This window comes from Homo sapiens, chromosome 7 (genome assembly GCF_000001405.40).
Source record: "Homo sapiens chromosome 7, GRCh38.p14 Primary Assembly".
In the NCBI taxonomy this organism is placed as follows: Eukaryota; Metazoa; Chordata; class Mammalia; order Primates; family Hominidae; genus Homo; species Homo sapiens.
In genome coordinates, this window is record NC_000007.14 from 103,781,316 (window position 1) to 103,802,886 (window position 21,571).

Sequence of the window (21,571 nt, forward strand, 5' to 3'; positions counted from 1 at the left end):
AAATCTTCTATGGAAATATATATATTCTGCTATATAAATATATATTATATATTCCAAAATTGCTAAAAGCACAGTAACTCACAATTAAGTCTCTAGAGGTTGGGTCCTCCAATTTTAAAAATTACATTGACAGATAAAATTGTATGTAAAGCTGTGTATTAAATCTAGCTAATTAACATATGCATTACTTCCTATAGTCATCGTTTTTGTGGTGAGATCCACATCCACTCTTTTAGCATTTTCAAGAGTACAATACTATAGTCACCATGTTGTGCAATAGATATCTTGAACTTATCCCTCCTGTCTAACTGAAATTTTGTATCTTTGACCAACATCTCCCCATCTACCTCCCCAAACCACCCAGCCCCTGATAACCCCCATTCTACTCTCTACTTCTATAAGACCAACTTTTTTAGATTCCACCAAGTCCTCCAATTTGTAACACACAATATATTTTAAAATAAGAATACAGAGTTATGGTACATGGTGACAAGCCTGATTCATTTCCAGAATTGTTATTTTATGTAATTTACAGCTGTCTCTCGGGGGGAAGGTCCATCACACTGATGGTGTTATTAACTATGCTGGTACTATTTGCACTTAATTTTACATAATTAGAAATAATTTTTCTTAAGAGTTCAGGAAATATCCTCATTGTTTACTATTTTGGAAAGTAGACCAAGTTTCTTAAACACGTTTCTAATAAGCACTTATCTCCTTCTTGGGAGATGCACAGATCTCTAAGGCAAACTTGCCAACAAGAGCCCCTATTAACTAAGTAATTTTAAAATCCCTTTGGACTGTTACTACCTAACATTTTAAAAGCTCTATAGATTCTCCAAAATGAAGAAAGTTCATTATGATCATCATATTCAGTGCTTGAAAAAGCATTTATTGTCATGATTTAAAAAAAGCCTGTGATATTTTCAACCTAACTAAACAACAGAGTAGCTGTATGCCCAAAGCATTTAAGAATTAAGCGTGCATTCTGCTGCGGCACAGGGCTGAGGTATAGTCTCTGCAAGGAGAAAGACCAGTGACAGAACACAGTTAGGTGCCACTTATGAGCTACATGACTTTGGACAACTTCTTTAATCACTCTAGGCAACAGACTCCCTATCTGAGGATAGGGATAACTTGAAATAATAACTATTACTTCAAGATATTAATATTCACTCTTAAATACCTACAGTCTCTCCACCTAAATAGATTTCAAGCTTCTGGAATAGGAATCAGTAAATAAAAAGAAATTATCCCCCACAAGGCATTGGTCATAATGATTTGAACATATGAAGGAATCAGAGGTATTTATATTTTTGACTTATATTTGTATTTGATTTATATTTTTCACTCCATAATTTGCTTACCATGTATTGCCATCTAGTTTACAAAGAAGGAATACAAAAGTATTTTAATATACTTGCTATAATGCCTAAATTCCCAAGTGTATTACTATTTGTTGATTTCATGAATCAATTTGCTCATAGATTAACCTAAAGAATCATACCAGCTGGTTCATTTTTAAACCTATGACAATGCACTTTACCTCCAGGGGTGGGTTGCTTTTTCTATCTACTGCTTTGTTAATGAGGTCTGGTATATTAGTTGACTTGTCCATTTTACAGCTGGAAGAGCATTCGTTAATCAGCATTCTGAAGTTAGTCTTGTGTAATTCAGTATGCCTGTGCCAAGCCACCCTTCAGGAAAGGTAACTAAATATGTGGAATATGGGGGAAAAAAGAGTTGATCTGAGTTCGGTAAATTTGATCTTCAAAGGAATCAATTCACCCTTTAAAATTCTTATCCCTTTGTATCAGCAAATTACAGTACTTTCTTTTCTCTTTCTTTCTTTTTTTTTTTTTTTAAGACAAAGTCTCACTATGTCACCCAGGTTAATCTTAACTCCTGGGCTCAAACAATCCTCCCACCTTGCCCTCTCAAAGTGCTGGGATTAAAAGCATAAAACGTACAGTGCATTCTAATTTGGGGATATATATTGATGTTTATCAAAATAAGAAAAAAACTCGCTTCAAAACCCATAAAAAAGAGAAATGAATAGCTTCAAGGAGTAATTATTTTTGTTAAACTCTCAACTTCAACTATGGCAAAGCCATTGCAAAATAAGCAAAGGATTCTGTATGTTTTCACAATGCTTTTGCTATCTTTACTGCCCTAATTGTTTTTATAGTTACATCTTTTATTCCTAAGCCACAGAATTTTTTTTCTGTCAAATGTATAAATACTTTATCTCCTTGAAAACAACAAATTTCAGTATTAATGTTCATTATCCAGTAATCACAAAGTCTACCTGTCCTTAAAGGTTACCAAATAGATGGTTTAACCTTGATTTGTGATCAAAGTGTACTTTTTATTAGCAAGAGAAGGAACATGCAGATGAAATCCTTTAAGTATGGCAAATCAATGAATGGTTAATAGTAACTTAGCTTTCTTCCAAAGTGATTCAGCAAACTCCTGAAATGGAGATGGAGGCTTTACGTTCATCTGACAGTATTTGTTCATCCATGGTATTGTAAGCATTCAGCCACATGTAGTATGAACTGTTTTACTTAAAGTGTTTTTAATAACATCACTAAATGATTTTGCATTGAAATAAAGAGTAATCATTTCAGTGAAAAACACTTGGTAGTTGCAGGATATGTAACAGCAAAGAGAAGGAGACATTTATCATTGGCAGAGTTATATATCCTTTGTAAATCACCAATGAAGTGAATCTGGGGAGGGAAGATACCCACAAGCAGATTAAACCACATTTTATTTTGTTCATATGCAGAAGAATGGCTCGTCTAGTAAAAGGAAGAAATGACAAATTTCTCATGATTATCACAAAGTTTTAATGAAAGGGGACGTTGATTGGACTGATGTATGTATCAAGGAGGATCACCATTAAGGTGTCAAATGTGTCAAAAGTTCCCAACTCACATTTAGGATTAACTTTAATTTCCAGGAATATGTAATTTATTTCAGGAGAAAATAACTTTATGAGTAAAGTCAAATGAGAAATGCAGATTAAAAAATTCCTCAGCAGCCCTCACCTACGTCAGTAAGAGGTGAAATCCTCAGAGCAGCCCAGCTAACAGTGACCTGGCGTAAGCATGTGAAAGCATCCACATTTCGAAAACTGAATGCAGGAGTGCTGTCTACCAAGAGTGAGTGACTTTTTATTGTTTAAATTTAAAATGGCTCTATTTGGGTTTTATCAGAAATTTTCCTGGTTTTTCCTGGTTCACAACTAATGGATCCTTGATTATGAATAACGGCAAAAAGGATACATAATTTTTTCTTAATAAAAAGATGATGTTCTCTCTGCCTCTTCTAATAATTATTCAACAAACCATTATGGATTATGAACCTGAAGGGGTGTTAATTATTAGTCTGCTTTAGGTGCTCACATTTCTTACCTTGGCCCTGTTGGCATATGATATAAACTCAGAAAACATTCTTTTTGGATTATGTCTTCTTTGTTATGTTATGTGTACCCTAGGCACAGGGATTTTAGTCTGTTTCCTTTTTAATATTTTACCTGATAATTGACATAAAGCATCCATGCAGTAAATGTTTGTGAAATGGGTGAATGATTAATGTATGTTACACTTGATACAGAATGTTAAATGCTTTAAAAAGTAACCAGCAAGCTACTGCATAAGAAACACTATGAAAAAGATGATTAGATGATAATAATAGTCAAGACAAACATTGTTATAAGTAAGATTTATCTTGGAAATCAGTTAACAGCAAGAACAGTAAAAGTAAATAAGCTGATGTATTTGCTTTATTATTACAATACGTTTCATCATTTAACATCTTCCAGAGTATCCTTAAACTAACTGTATTCTGGAAATGCCTTCTAAAACATTAAAATAAAAATGCTTTCCACACCACCTTTTAAAATCATTAAAATTATTTGAGAGGCTCTGCTGTTTTAAACACCTTTTAATTAAGTAAGCCTATGGTCACTTGTCTCAGAGGCATTCTTAGGCAAGGCAAGAACAAAACTGGAAAAATGGCATGTCAATTCCAAAGAAAATCCTAGTAAAAAACAATGTTTTCTGCTGGATATGAATTAAACAGTCTGTAAATTTGCTGAAAGATGTATGCAAAGTATTTAAGTATCACATTTAAGTGGACTCAAAGAAAGAGCACTAGTTTCCACAATAGAAGAAGCGGAGTTTTGCTCTAGGATGGGCATCCATTACCTCCATGATTTATACTGTGTCACTTAACTTCTGTGTGTCTTACTTTCTTAATCTATGAAATAAACTGAATGGACTGAACAATTTTAAGGTTCAAACAGCAGATCTGGAATCAGAAGATGTGGGTTTGCACCACAGCTCAATGATTTATGTTGATCTTATATGAGTGTTAATTTTCTGAGATAGGACTAGAAATGTTGTGCTATTTATTTTCAGGGCTGTGATGAAAATCAAATGTGATCAACTCTGTGAAAATATTGTGGAAAATATAAGGAATTATGATGATAATGTCTGGTTGGTCACTTCAGAATATAGCACAGAATTGAAAGGGAATTAAAGGAGCACATTCTATAGGATTTAAGATCAAAAGCTGTTTTTGATCTTAAAAGGAAAAAAAGGGAAGACTGTAAACTCCATTTTTTTTTTTGACTGTGATGAAGTCAATGAAAGCTCCAATAAGGGATATGATTTCTAACCTAGTTAATTAATCATAACAAATTAGGACAGTAATGGTGTTTTCCTGCAAAGAAATCCTGCCAAAGTACATACAAGTGTTGCTTTGAAGGAAATAAGTTGTAAAGCAAGCCTCTACTATAGCATACAATATTAAAAAACTTTTTTTCCGTTATAAAGGTAACTTGTATTATGAAAAATTTTAAATACATAAAAGTATTAATGTGAAAATAAAATTAGTCATATTCATACTAAGGAGAGATAATCACTATTCATATTTTAGTAAATCATATACCCTTGTAGTTTTTAAAATTAATATAAAGTTGTTTAAAAAATTGCTTCCCTAAACAGCTGTTTTCTATTTGCTTATGTTTAATATTTATTATAAATAGTTGCCATGTCATTAAGTACTTTTCAAACAAGATTTTTAAAGGCCAACCCATCAATGTGCTGTATTCAGGAGACCCATCTCATGTGCAAAGACACACATAGGCCCAAAATAAAGGGATGGAGAAAGATTTACCAAGAAAATGGAACCAAAAAAAAAAAAAAAAAAAGCAAGGGTTGCTATCCTAGTATCTGATAAAACAGACTTTAAACCAACAAAGATCAAAAAAGACAAAGAAGGGCATTACATAATAGTAAAGGGATTAATGCAACAAGAAGAGCTAACTATCCTAAATATATATGCATCCAATACAGGAGCATCCAGATTCATAAAGCAAGTTCTTAGAGACCTACAAAGAGACTTAGACTCCCACACAATAATAGTTGGAGACTTTAACACCCGACTGTCGATATTAGACAGATCAACGAAGCAGAAAATTTACAAGGATATTCAGGACTTGAACTCAGTCCTGGACCAAGCGGACCTAAAAGACATCTACAGAACTCTCCACCCCAAGTCAACAGAATATACATTCTTCTCAGCACCACATCACACTTATTCTAAAATTGACCACATAATTAGAAGTAAAACACTCCTCAGCAAATGGAAAAGAAAGGAAATCATAACAGTCTCTCAGACCATAGTGCCATCAAATTAGAACTCAGCATTAAGAAACTCACTCAAAACCTCACAACTACATGGAAACTGAAAAACCTGCTCCTGAATGACTACTGGGTAAATAACGAAATTAAGGCACAAATAAATAAACTCTTTGAAACCAATGAGAACAAAGACACAACATACTAGAATCTCTGGGACACAGTAAAAGCAGTGTTTAGAGGGAAATTCATAGCATCAAATGCCCACAGGAGAAAGCAGGAAAGATCTAAAATCAGCACCCTAACACACAATTAAAAGAACTAGTAAAGCAAGAACAAACAAATTCAAAAGCTAACAGAAGACAAGAAATAACTAAGATCAGAGCAGAACTGAAAAACCCTTAAAAAAAAAATCAATGAATCCAGGAGCTGGTTTTCTGAAAAGATTAGCAAAATAGATAGACCACTGGCCAGACTAATAAAGAAGAAGAAAAGAGAAGAATCAAATAGTCACAATAAAAATGATAAACGGGGTATCACCACTGATCCCACAGAAATACAAACTACCATCAGAGAATATGATTAACACCTCTACACAAATAAACTAGAAAATCTAGAAGAAATGGATAAATTCCTAGACACATACACACTCCCAAGTCTAAACCAAGAAGAAGTCAAATCCCTGAATAAAACAGTAACAAGTTCTGAAATTGAAGCAGTAAATAATAGCCTACCAACCAAAAGAAGTCCAAGACCAGATGGATTCACAGCCAAATTCTACCAGAGGTATAAAGAGGAGCTGGTACCATTCCTTCTGAAACTATTCCAAACATCAGAAAAAGAGGGAATCCTCCCTAACTCTTTTTATGAGGCCAGCATCATCCTAATACCAAAACCTGGCAGAGACACAACAAAAAAAGAAAATTTCAGGCCAATATCCCTGATGAACATCGATGCAAAAATCCTCAATAAAATACTGGCAAACCGAATCCAGCAGCACATCAAAAATCTTATCCACCATGATCAAGTGGGCTTCATCCCTGGGATGCAAGGCTGGTTCAACATATCCAAATCAATAAACGTAATCCATCACATAAACAGAACGAACCAATGACAAAAACCACATGATTATCACAATAGATGCAGAAAAGGGCTTCGATAAAATTTAACACTGCTTCATGCTAAAAACACTCAATAAACTAGGTATTGATGGAATGTATCTCAAAATAATAAGAGCTATTTATGACAAACCCACAGCCAATATCATACTGAATGGGCAAAAACTGGAAGCATTCCCTTTGAAAATCGGCACAAGGCAAGGATGCCCTCTCTCACCACTCCTCTTCAACACAGTAATGGAAGTTCTGGCCAGGGTAATCAGGCAAGACAAAGAAATAAAGGGTATTCAATTAGGAAAAGAGGACATCAAATTGTCTCTGTTTGCAGATGACACGATTGTATATTTAGAAAACCCCATCGTCTCAGCCCAAAATCTCCTTAAGCTGATAAGCAACTTCAGCAAAGTCTCAGGATACAAAGTCAATGTGCAGAAATCACAAGCATTCCTATAAACCAATAATAGACAAACAGAGAGCCAAATCATGAGCAAACTCCCGTTCACAATTGCGACAGAGAATAAAATACCAAGGAATACAACTTACAAGGGATGTGAAGGAACTCTTCAAGGAGAACTACAAACCACTGCTCAAGGAAATAAGAGAGGACACAAACAAATGGAAAATCATTCCATGCTCATGGATATGAAGAATCAATATCGTGAAAATATACTGCCCAAAGTAATTTATAGATTCAATGCTATCCCCATCAAGTTACTATTGACTTCCTTCACAGAATTAGAAGAAAAAACTACTTTAAATTTCATATGGAACCAAAAAGGAGCCCATATAGCCAAGACAATCCTAAGCAAAAAGAACAAAGCTGGAGGTGTCATGCTACCTGACTTCAAATTGTACTACAAGGCTACAGTAACCAAAACCGCATGGTACTGGTACCAAAACAACAGATACATAGACGAATGGAACAGAACAGAGGCCTCAGAAATAACACCACACAAATACAACCATCTGATCTTTGACAAACCTGACAAAAACGAGCAATGGGGAAAGGATTCCCTATTTAATAAATGGTGCTGGGAAAACTGGCTAGCCATATGCAGAAAACTGAAACTAGAACCCTTTCTTACATCTTACACAAAAATTAACTCAAGATGAATTAAAGATTTTAACGCAAGACCTAAAACCATAAAATCCCTAGTAGAAAACCTAGGCAATACCATTCAGGACACAGGCATGGGCAAAGACTTCATGACTAAAACACCTAAAGCAACAGCAACAAAAGCCAAAATTGATAAATGGGATCTAATTAAGCTAAAGAGCTTCTGTAGAGCAAAAGAAACTATCATTAGAGTGAACAGGCAACTTACAGAATGGGAGAAAATTTCTGCAATCTATCCAACTGACAAAGGGTTAATATCCAGAATATACAAGGAACTTAAATTTACAAGAAAAAAACAACCCCATCAAAACGTGAGTGAAGGATATGAACAGACACTTCTCAAAAGAAGACATTTATACAGCCAACAAACATATGAAAAAAAGCTCATCATCACTGGTCATTAGAGAAATGCAAATCAAAACCGCAATGAGATACCATCTCACACCAGTTAGAATGGCAATCATTAAAAAGTCAGGAAACAACAGATGCTAGAGAGGATGTGGAGAAATAGGAATGTTATTACACTGTTGGTGGGAGTGTAAATTAGTTCAACCATTGTAGAAGACAATGTGGTGATTCCTCAAGGATATAGAACTAGAAATACCATTGCACCCAGCAATCCCATTACTGGGTATATACCCAAAGAATTATAAATCATTCTACTATAAAGACACATGCACATGTATGTTTACTGCGGCACTATTCACAATAGCAAAGACTTGGAACCAATCCAAATGGCCCATTAATGTTAGACTGGATAAAGAAAATGTGGGACATATACACCACACAATGCTATGTAGCCATAAAAAAGAATGAGTTCATGTCCTTTGCAGGGACATGGATGAAGCTGGAAACCATCATTCTCAGCAAACTAACACAGGAACAGAAAACCAAATACTGCAGGTTCTCACTCATAAGTGGGAGTTGAACAATGAGAACACATGCCCACAGGGAGGGGAACATTACACAGTAGGGCCTGTTGTGGGGGCGGGGACAAGGGGAGTGATAGCATTGGGAGAAATACCTAATGTAGATGATGGGTTGACGAGTGCAGCAAACCACCATGGCACATGTATAACTATGTAACAAACCTGCATGTTCTGCACATGTATTCCAGAACTATAATAATAATAATAAAATAATATTCCACTGGATAGCTATATCATAGTTTCTTTATTCTACTGTTGTTGGAATTTTACTTCTATATAATTTTAAATAATGAAGTGTATAAACCTTTGACCATATCTCTTGCATTTTAAGATGTATTTCCAGGCCTGGGGTAGTCAAAATATGGGCATAAGCACTTAATGCTTTTGTTATGAACTTCATGTTTGTGTCCCACCCTCCGCCCCTCCAAATTCATATGTCATTACCCTAACTCCCAATGTGATAGAGTTTGGAGATGGGGTCTTTGGGAGGCTGATGAGATCATGAGGGTAGTGCCCTGGTCATAGGATTGGTGTCCTTTAAAGAAGAAAATAGGCAGGCGTGGTGGCTCATGCCTGTAATCCCAGGAATTTGGGAGGCTGAGGCGGGTGGATCATGAGGTCAGGAGTTTGAGACCAGTCTGGCCAATATGGTGAAACCCTGTCTCTACTGAAAATACAAAAATCAGCCAGGTGTGGTGGTGCATGCTTGTAGTCCCAGATACTCGGGAGGCTGAGGCAGAAGAATCGCTTGAATCTGGGAGGCGGAGGTTGCAGTGTGCCAGATCGCGCCACTGCACTCCAGCCTGGGCAACAGAGCAAGACTCTGTCTCAAAAACAAACAAACAAACAAAAAACCAAAAAAAGACAGAAAGAAAACAATTCCATTTATAAACTCATTGAAAAGAATAAGGTACTTAGTCATAAACTTGCAGAAGAAGTGTAAGACTTGTACATAACTACTAAACATCACTGAAAAAAAAAGATGGAAATAAATGGAAAAACATCTTATGTTCATGACTTAGAAGGTGAACTCTTAAGATGGCAATACTACCTAAATGGATCTACAGATTCAGCATGATACCTCTCAAAATCTCAGCTGGGTATTTTCCAGAAATTGATAGCTAATTCTAAAATGTAAATGCAAGGGGCTCAGAAGAGTCAAAATAATCATGATAAAGAAGAAAGCTGGAGGACTTGCACTTCCTTATTTCAAAATTTACCACAAAGTTACCATAATCAAGACAATGTGATACTGCCATAAAAACAGATGTATAGATCAATAGAACAGAATTGAGAGTCCAGTAGTATACTTTTACATTTATGGTTAATTTCTGACAGGATAATTCCATGAAGAAAGAGGTCTTTAAAACAAATAATGTTCAGTCAACTGGATATCCACATGCAAAAGAATGAGGTTAGACCTCTACCTCACACCATATACAAAAATTAACAAAATGGATCATAGATTTAAGTGTAATATAACTAAAACTGTAAAACTCTTAAAGGAAAACATAGGGATAAATCTTCATGACTTGATACTTGGCAGCAGTTTCTTAAATATAACATGAAAGGTGAAAGAAAAAAATAGATGAATAGAACTTTATCAAAATTAAAACCTTTGTGCAACAAAGGATACCATTTAAAAAGTTTTTAAAAAAAAAGACCCACAGAATGAGAGAAAATGTTTGCAAATCATATATCTGATAAAGAAATAGTATCCAGTATATATGAAGAACTCTTTACAACTCAATAAAAAATAAGTAACTCAATTTAAAAATGGGCAAACAATTTGAACAGACATTTATCCAAAGAAAAAATACAAATGGTCAATAAACACATGAAAAGATGCTCAACATCATTAATATTAGGGAAATGCAATGAAATGAAATACCATTCTACTCCCACAAGATAGAATAAAAAAAGATAGACAATAATAAGTGTTGACAAGGATGTGGAGAAACTGTAATCCTCAAATATTGCTGGTGGGAATAAAAATGGTATAGCCACTTTGGAAAACAGTTTGGCAATGCCTCAGAATGTTAAACATTGAGTTACTGTGTGACCCAGCAATTCCACTTGCAGTTGTATACACAAGAAACACATGAACACATGTTCACAGAGAAAAAAATGTATACACAAATGTTCTCAGAAGCATTATTAATAATAGGCAAAAGTGGAAACAACCTAAATGTCTGTCCACAGATGATTGGCTAAATAAAATGTGGTATATATCCATACAACGGAATATTATTCAACCATAAATGGAAATGAAGTACCGTTCATGCTACAATATCAATCAACCTTGAAAATATGCAAAGTGAAAAAAATCCAGTCAGAGAATCCTATATATTATATGATTCCATTTATATGAAATGTCCAGAATAGGCAATTCTATAGCGACAGAACATAGATTAGTAGTGGTTTCCGGGGGATGGGGGGATGGGGGGATGGGGAAATGTAAACTGACAGCTAATGGGTGCAGGGTGTCTTTTAGGGGTAATAAAAATGTTATAAAAATTTTTATAATTGTGAAACTTTTAGTATATCTGTGGATATACTAAAATTTTTATAATTGTGAAACTTTTTAGTATATCTGTGGATATACTAAAAGCCACCTAATTGTATAGTTTAAAGGGATAAATTTTATGGGAAGTGAATTATATCTCAATAAAGCTGTTATTAAAAAATAAAATGGAAATATATTCTGGAAGGCTGTAGATAAGCTAATAGGAAATGGAAGCATAATAATACTGGGGACAGTCTGGTGTGTTCTGGGGACATCTGTTTTTTGAGACTGATATTATAATGGAAAAAATACATTTTTGTTGCTTGAAACATGCAGAGAACAAAACTAAATTAGTATTTTTTAAATACTGTGGTCCTTCAATGCTTCATTAAAAAGAATGCAATAGGTGACCCAAGGAAACTATAAAGCCTCAAATTGCAACCAAATTTCAATTGAACCAAAGTTGAATTTCTATATATTACATGCAACTTTGAGCCCAGGGAGAGAATAATTTTTCTTTTGCAATGTATAAGTAGTTCTTCTTTTACCTGCCTCAGGACACATTTAGATGAAAGAAAACACATTAAATTATTGATGTAATGATTAATTAAAAGTCCCTTTAAGTCATCTAGCATATGTATAGCAAAGCCCTTTGGCCTCACTCAGGCAAATCTACAACTCTTACAAGTATATTCCAAAGCAGTCATGTGTACCATGTTTTGATAAATTAAAGAATTGAAGTAACCAAAATGAATGCTGAGGATGTTGTCTGGATTACAGCTGATTTTATTCTGTGTCCTCCTCACCTAGAAATACACTCCCTTAAGTCTACATAGAACCATAATTAGACTGACTCTTCTCAGTGTTTCATGAAAATTCCAGCATTGCCATGTTGCTAAGCATCCAGGTGATAGTCCTGGTGATTATTACCAGCTCTGTCATTAGTAAATCCAATTTTAGAATAGTAAAAGTTCCAGCACAAGTCTAATAAGAAACTTTAGAGGCTAGTGAAAAACAGACAGTGGCCCTAGCAGGTGTATTTTCAGGGAAAGCAAAAGGAACAAGAGATGGGAAAGGACAGTCAGAGTGACAGTGGTTGTCATCGGTAGTACAAGTGAACATTTTGCTAAACAGAAGGTTGTTTATTTGAGGCAGACTCTTGCTTTGTCACCCAGGCTAAAGTGCAGTGGCACAGTCTCGGTTCACTGCAGCCTCTGCCTCTCAGGTACAAGTCATTCTCGTGCCTCAGCCTTCAGAGTAGCTGGAACTACAGGTGCACACCCATACGCCCGGCTAATTTTTGTACTTTTAGTAGAGATGGGGTTTCACCATGTTGGCCAGGCTGGTCTTGAGCTCCTGGCCTCAAGTGATCCACCTGCCTCAGCCTCCCAAAGTGCTGCAATTACAAGCATGAGCCACAGTGCCTGGCCATAAACAGAAGTAATATTTTTTAATTTTGTAGGTAATTTTTTTTAATTTTAAGGGTATTTAAAATGCTGATACTAAACTATCTAGACTAGTGATTCTAGAAATGGGCAACTTTAAAAATATACACATTGCCATGCTCCACTCTTGACCGCTTAATTTAGAATCTCTGGGCTCAAGGTTCAGGCACACATGATTCCAACTGTAGCCAGGCTCGAAAACTACTAGTCTGAACAGACGAACTGCTATATATCCCCCTATGAGTAGGACAGATTTCATGCTTCCTCTAAGTAACAACTTCCATTCCTGTCACAACCATCACTATCAGCAAGCTGTTTTATTCCTTCTTTCCCCAACCAAAGACCCTTTGGTAAGGATTAAACTTTATCCTCTTGGCCTGGCAGTGGATTATCTTCCAGTCCCCTTTGATTTTTCACTTTCCTTGGTAGATGCATATCACATGCATATCTAAGTTGCAACAACAACAACAAAAACAGGCAGAAAGAATAATTTTTCACTGAAGTAGGATTCTCCCATGAGCCAAAAAGGACACCATATGAAATGATGCAATTCCCGAGTTGTCTTTGGTAAAGTCATTTACAAACTGAACAGGCAGAGCTTCTCAACCTTAGCACTACTGCACTACTGGACATTTATTTAAATTGGATCATTCTTTGCTGTAGGGGGGCTTTCCTGTGCATTGTAGAATACTTAGCAGCACCTGTAGCACCACTAGATGCTAGGTATGACAACAAAAAAATGTCTCCAGATATTATCAAATGTCCCCTGGGAGCATAGGTAAAATCACAGCTGATTCAGAAACCCTGGTATATAGGTTTGTAAGAACTCAGCCCATATCAAAATTTCAATATTTACACAGAACATCGTGCTTACCATACTGAATACATATGCATTTTGACACTTACACTATGATAAATGTTTCAAATTTGGCTCATGTCTAGGAGTTTAATTTTCTATAATATCCCCTAATGCCAACTAGTATTTTCTATTGAAGTCTAGGTGTTTAATTATATATAATATTCCCTAATGCCAACTAGTATTATCTATTGAAGTCAATTTGTATGGAACAATCATAACAAGCTTCCTGCATTGCTTTGGGCAAAAGAGAAAAGAAAGATTTGACAAACACACACTCTGCAGTAGATATCTATATAAATGGTCCTCACAGGCTCAAGCTAAGTATTGGCTTTAGAAAGTTGTCTTGTCTGACTCACATTTTCTGTGAATTTACTGTGTTGACTAACACAGCCCTTAGGCTTGGGCAAGTCAAAATGTGCAGTGTTTTTGTTTAAAAGGTCTTTCCTGGAAGTGAACAAAATATTGTTACAGGAGATCCAGTGTGGATAATCGGGAGGGGACAAAAATATAAGGTATAAACATGAAAGTTCAAAGCCAAAACTGTAACAAAAAAGCCAAGAACTTCCTAACAGAGCAAAAGAGACTGAATCAACTCATCAAAAAATTAGGTATTTTAGAGTAGAGTCATATGCTTTATGAGTTTATTTTTCCCTTTGCTGGGAAGACATGAACAAAACATCCAATTTCAGGAACTTCACTACTTTGTTTTTGCAAACAAAGGCAGGTTAAAGGTATAGTCAAAAGTGAAAAGTAAATCATGGAAAATGAACATTTTAAATTCCTTTGGAATTACAAAGCACAGTCCCCTTACTAACAGCAGGAAAATAATGGCCCATCATTACAATTTTGCCCCAGTAAACATACACTATTTGGATTACATTCTGGATAAGTAGCAACAAGGAATACCATTTTGACACAGCTAGGGCTCTTGTAAGTCATTCTCTGCCTTTCTGTAAATATTCCATTTTTGTATAGTGCTAAAGAAATCACATTTTCATTTTTCTGTAGTTCATTATGGCTCATTGCTGTAGCAACTGCCAAACCAGTCAATTTGTGTAAATAATAGAACAAGCTTCTATTGTCTCTCATCTGACACAGTGCCAACTAGTTGGTCTACCTATTTCAATATGGAAATCATGTTTTTAAACTCTTTATATAATTTAAATATCCCTGGAGTTATATGCAGTAAATTATTTTGGAACACTGAACTGAGTGTATGTACTCAAGCACTTATCCCTTTAAATTAGGTCATACAGAATACTGATTTCCATATTACCATTACATAAAGAAGAAACACTATGTGAGTATTTGGAAACGCAAATGAGTTTGTTATTTTTCTGATATTTTAAAACAATAGCAATTTTGTGACCTTAGTTCTTCTTAATTACTCATCTCCCAGCACATCAATTAATGTTTGCCTAATTCAAATTTCTGGAATCTATCATCATTCCCAGAGATGAAAAACATCTGTACTTCTTGTTTTGCAATTTTAATTTGTGGTTTGGATTTTGTCTTTCAGTATCATTTGTTGTAGTGAGAAGAATAGAAATAATCTTCTTTCCCTGGATACAATTCATAGCATCCAAAATTTACCAAAGAGAGAAATAGTCAAGAAACTTAGAGTCTGTAGAAAGTAAATGGATACAGTCTGGGTGTGGTGACGAACGACTGTAATCCCAGTACTCTGAGAGGCCATGGTGGGCAGATCACTTGAGGCCAGGACCAGCCTGGCCAACATGCCAAAAACCTGTCTCAACTAAAAATACAAAAATTAGGCAGGCGTGGTGGCACATGCCTGTAATCCTAGCTACTCGGGAGGTTGAGGCAGAAGAATCGCTTGAACCTGGGAGGCGGAGGTTGCAGTGAGCCAAGATTGCCCCGCTGCACTGCAGCCCAGCCCAGGCAACAGGGCAAGAGAGCTAGACTCCATCTCACAAAAAAAAAAAAAAAAAAAGAAAGAAAGAAAAAGAAAAAGAAAAAGAAAGTAAGGATACATAACTATGGAACCATCCTTATATACTTCTGTGGTAAGACCTGCCTGCCTAAAATTTCTTACTTAGAGATTTATTCTTTAGAATATTAATTGATCTCTCCGTAAGTTCCTTTTACTCCTTTAAATGTTTTATTTGGGAGTCATTTTATTTTATTTATTTCATTTTTTTGAGACAGAGCGTCGCTCTTGTCACCCAGGCTGGAGTGCAATGGTGCTATCTTGGCTCACCGCAACCTCTGCCTCAGGTTCGACCTGCCTCTGCAGGTTCAAGTGATTCTCCTGCCTCAGCCTCCCGAGTAGCTGGGATTACAGGCACCCACCACCATGCCCAGCTGATTTTTGTATTATTTTTAGTAGAGATGGGGTTTCACCATGTTGGCTAGGCGGTCTCGAACTCCCAACCTCAGGTGATCCACCTGGCTTGGCCTCCCAAAGTAGTGGGATTACAGGTGTGAGTCACTGTGCCTGGCCAGGAATCATTTTAGACTGATGGAAAAGTTGCTAAGATTAGAACAATGCCAAGATAGAACAAGAGAGTTCACAAATGCTTTTCACCCAACTTTCCCTACTGTTAACTTCTTACATAACCGTGGTTCATTTGTCCTTAAGAAATTAACATTCCGATTTTACTAGTTTTTTTATTTTTCTGATAATATCCTTTATCCCTCCAATATCCAGTCCAAGATACCATATCGCAGTTAGTGAGACCCCTTTTGTAAATACAAAAATTTCCAGGCAGTGTAATTTATTAAATTACCAACCAACCCTATTATGAACTCATTTATTACATCAATTTTCTTCTGGAAGGAGAGATAAGGGCAGCATGAAAATCCGGGGCATGTGGTGTATATAAAGGAATTGTGAAGGGAAAGAAATGCTGCCAAGAAAGGAGGTAACAAATCAAAGCCAAAAGACATTCAATTTTGCCTGGGGCTGGCCCTGTGCAGCTATGTGTAATTAGCTTCCTCAATCACTACATCTGACAAAGTCATTTTCATTTGAGAGAAAACAACAAATCATTAATTATGGCAATAAGTCACGGATTAAAATATTTTTGTGTGGATTCTACATGCACTGTGATTTGTGCCTTTGGTCAGCCATCATTTTGCTTCTTTAGGCTTTCCCTGCTCCGTACTCTTGGGAGTTAGTTCCATGTGAAGACATCTCTGACTGCCCAGCCCTGGACAGTACTACTCACTGCCTTTGCCAAATAAATTCTGGAGCAGTTATGTTACTGAATATACCTCATTGTGAGCCTTTACCAGCTACAGTCTTCTTCTGATAGCAATTTGAAAACAAATATGTATTTTAAGGAGAAAGGTATTGTGATTAAGAACATGAGCTCTGCAGTCAAATCTAGGTTCAAATCTTAGCTACAATACTCCATAGTATTAAGATCTTTGGCAAATTAAGTAATGTCTCTAAGCCTCCATTTATTTATCTGTAAAACACTGGCAATAATGAGGCCTACCTGTTATCGTTGGGAAGACTCAATGAGCTAATGCCCATGAATATCTGCCTGGCAGGTAATCATGCCTGTCACTCAAAAGGTGAAGCTAAACCAGTTATAAGGCCAGGAAGAAGAATATAGCGGTTTGGCCTGTTACCCAGTAAGGTTTAGAATTTATCTGACTTCTCAGATATAGGATCTTAGGGGCCAGTCATCATTCCTGAGCACCCATGTTGTTCTCTATAAATCTCCTCAGCCAGGCAGACCCAGGACCCCTTTCCCATGAGGACATCTCTAGGGCATTGCTTTGCCCGCTTCCATGCTATCTCAGTGTTTAGGGCTTCTATCTAGGTGCATACCTCCTTAGAAGTAGGTTATAATGCCAGGCTCTATTTTAGGTACAGGAGATAAAGCAACGAACAAATGTTTTTGTGTTCTCAAGTTTATACCATGGTCACCCACAGCTAGAGCTTTAGCTCCAAACCAGCCTTCCTCCCGCTTCTGTGTTAGCTACCAAAATTTTCTGTCACTGGGCTCCAACCAAGGGAAACCCAAGTATCAGTGACCCTCGGTCTTTGCCCAGGGCCTATAGCCATTCCCTCATGTAGCATCAGTTTCTCAAGCACTGGTTTCAGACCTACCCCCTCTTTTCTTTTTGCTTCTCACATGTCTTGGGTTGCCATGAGAGCCACACCTAGTAACAAAATTGCAATTTACAGTAAGAATATCCATGAAGTTACAACCTTACTAGTAATATTGAATTGAAATGGTGCCAAAATTATCTATATTAAGTAACTAATTTAGAGATTCCAATACTTTGTACTTCCAGGTCTCTTCAATCTTGAGTAGGAAACACACAGGAAATCACACAGCTATGATAAAGATGGTCTCAAATAATGCATTATCTACCCCTAGTCTGCATTTTTATATGACTAGGTCTAGTTACATAGGATGCTACTACAATTAGAACCATGGCAAAGTGATACTGCTCAAAAATGGTGCCCCTGTGGGAAGAGAGCAGTGCTTCTGTAATTCATGTTACTCTCTTATCAGTATTCTTCTGTCACCTCTCACACTTACAGCCCAGTTCATGCTTTCAGTTCCTCTAACCTAACCATCTCCTACCTCAGAACATTTGCACATGCTGTCCAATTATGTCTGGGGGAATCCTCTTTCCTGGCCAATTCCAAGTTATCCCTTAGTCATCCCAAGATGTGGTATCATCTTAAACGTCTTCCTCAGAGAGGCCTTTCCCAAACTAAACTAAATTCCCCAACTAAATCAAATTTCTTATTCCAGCTGCTCACTGTAACTTTGACTCTTCTTTCATGGCATTTGTCACAGTTATAATTAAGCGTTCTATTTGTGTATAGCAGAGTGGTGAAGAGCATAGGCCCTGGAATCTGAGTCTGAATCTGATTTCAGTACTTACTGAGGCAAAGCACATTAATAAGTGACTTAACCTCTCTGTGCCCCACTAATGATAGTACCCACCTCATAGGGTAATGGTGAAGGTTTAAAGAATCAACAAAAACCACGTGATTATCTCAATAGATGCAGAAAAGGGCTTCGAAAAAATTCCAAGGTACTGACGGAACATATCTTAAATAATAAGAGCTATTTATGACAAACTCACAGCCAATATTGTACTGAATGGGCAAAAACTGGAAGCGTTCCCTTTGAAAACTGGCACAAGACAGGGATGCCCTCTCTCACCACCCCTATTCAACACAGTGTTGGAAGCTCTGGCCAGGGCAATCAGGCAAGAGAAATAAATAAAGCGTATTCAGTTAGGAGGAGAGGAAGTCAAATTGTCCCTTTTTGCAGATGACATGATTGTATATTTAGAAAACCCCATCGTCTCAGCCCAAAATCTCCTTCAGCTGATAAGCAACTTCAGCAAAGTCTCAGGATACAAAATCAATGTGCAAAAATCAAAGCATTCTTATACACCAATAACAGACAAACAGAGAGCCAAATCATGAGTGAACTCCCATTCACAATTGCTACAAAGAGAATAAAATACCTCAGAAGTAACACCACACATCTACAACCATCTGATCTTTGACAAACCTGACAAAAACAAGATATGGGGAAAGGATTCCCTATTTAATAAATGGTGCTGGGAAAACTGGCTAGTCATATATAGAAAGCTGAAACTGGATCCCTTCCTTACACCTTATACAAAAATTAATTCAAGATGGATTAAAGACTTAAATGTAAGACCTAAAACCATAAAAACCCTAGAAGAAAACCTAGGCAATACAATTCAGGACATAGGCATGGGCAAGGACTTCATGTCTAAAACACCAAAAGCAATGGCAACAAAAGCCAAAATTGACAAATGGGATCTAATTAAAGTGAAGAGCTTCTGCACAGCAAAAGAAACTACCATCAGAATGAACAGGCAACCTACAGAATGGGAGAAAATTTTTGCAATCTACTCATCTGACAAAGGGCTAATATACAGAATCTACAAAGAACTTAAACAAATTTACAAGAAAAAAGCAAACAACCTGATGAAAAAGTGGGCAAAGGGTATGAACAGACACATCTCAAAAGAAGACATTTATGCAGCCAAAAGACACATGAAAAAATGCTCATTATCACTGGCCATCAGAGAAATGCAAATCAAAACCACAATGAGATACCATCTTACACCAGTTAGAATGGTGGTCACTAAAAAGTCAGGAAACAAGAGATGCTGGAGAGGAGGTGGAGAAATAGGAATGCTATTACACTGTTGGTGGGACTGTAAACTAGTTCAACCATTGTGGAAGACAGTGTGACGATTCCTCAAGGATCTAGATCTAGAAATACCATTTGACCCAGCCATCCCATTACTGGGTATATACCCAAAGGATTATAAATCATGCTACTTTAAAGACACATGCACACATATGTTTATTGTGGCACTATTCACAATAGCAAAGACTTGGAACCAACCCACATGTCCATCAATGATAGACTGGATAAAGAAAATGTGGCACATATACACCATGGAATACTATGCAGACATAAAAAGGATGAGTTCATGTCGTTTGCAGGGACATGGATGAAAATGGAAACCATCATTCTCAGCAAACTATCACAAGGACAGAAAACTAAACACTGCATGTTCTCACTCATAGGTGGAAACTCAACAATGAGAACACATGAACACAGGGTGGGGAACATCACACACTGGGGCCTGTTGTGGGGTGGGGGGCAGGGAGAGGGATAGCACTGGGAGAAATACCTAATGTAAATGATGGGTTGATGGATGCAGCGGGCCAGCATGGCACATATATACCTATGTAACGAGCCTGCACGTTGTGCACATGTACCCTAGAACTTAAAGTATAAAAAAAAAAAAGTGACAACCTCTCTGTGCCCCACTAATGATAGTACCCACCTCATAGGGTAATGGTGAAGGTTTAAAGAATTTATCCACACAAAACACTTATCCTGGCACATAGTAAGTTCTCAGTATGTGTTAGCCACAATAATAATTTTGATTTAATATAGTAGTAATTAGTAGTACTAGCAGTAGCAGTAGTAGTAATACAAGTTCTGTGAGGGCAGGGACAACTTCTACTTGTTTACTAATGCACTGGTACGTATTTACATATTTCTGGGGCTTGGCATAATTCGTGGCACATAGTTAAGTGTCAGTATATATTTCTTGAATTACTGAATTAATGAGAAACAAAATAAATACAAACCAGGTTTCCTCTTGGTCAGAAGGTTGTTTGAACATGAAAATAAGAGAACGAAAGTAAGAGCAAGATGAAAGATCAGTAAGTTTCACAAATTCAGGAGAAAATAAATTAAACAATCTTATAGCCCTCAAAATTTAGTCACAGGGTCTTGCAAAACTTTTTAGAGGGAAAAAGAAAAATGATCAAGTGCTAAAGTTTATCATTTTCAATGCCAAAGTAGAATTAAGACATGACTAAATAAATCAAAGTCAACTGATATTTGCTTCATATGATGTAATATGTATGTTACTGAAAAGGTGTATTAGGACATTTAAATATTAAGTACACAGTTAAAAGGATTATTACTGTAAAACAAATCACAATGCCCTAATTGGCCTTTTTTGGTGGACTTGGGTTTTTATATATTAGATTTACTCGTAGACCAAGATTCACCAGAATTTAAATTAATTTAAACATAAAAGTGCTGTAGAAGTCACACAAATTCAAGATACCCAAATGTGAAATTTTGAGAAGCATCTTGTTTAGTAGCAAAAGATAATATTAGCACTGTGCATTAAATCCCTAAGAAAATAAACTAGACTTCTAAGTACCAATAAAATTGCAAGTCTCCTTATGAAATCAGAGTACGGGCTTCATTTAAAGGCACAGATTGGCTTTAGGGATAGATATATAACTACATCTGAAATATCCAAGAAGGGATTTAAAAAGTGTTCCTTTCACATAAAATGTAGATATAAGAATTCCTGCAATGCTTGTATTACTGGCTGAAACAAAAACAAAACCTCCTAATCACCACCATCAC

General features: G+C 36.4%; 1 protein-coding gene across 2 annotated transcripts in view, besides 1 other annotated feature; it reads right to left on the minus strand.

Annotated features, from left to right (window-relative positions):
- Nucleotides 1–21,571, minus strand: part of RELN (reelin) — a 517,870-nt gene that overhangs the window by 309,527 nt on the left and 186,772 nt on the right. The gene's annotated exons all lie outside the window — the stretch shown is intronic.
- Nucleotides 18,054–18,254: a silencer, noted in NCBI's record as "peak6667 fragment used in MPRA reporter construct". NCBI's record gives its function as "represses an SCP1 promoter by STARR-seq MPRAs in K562 erythroleukemia cells {active_cell/tissue: K562}" and the evidence as "EXISTENCE:reporter gene assay evidence [ECO:0000049][PMID:32103011]".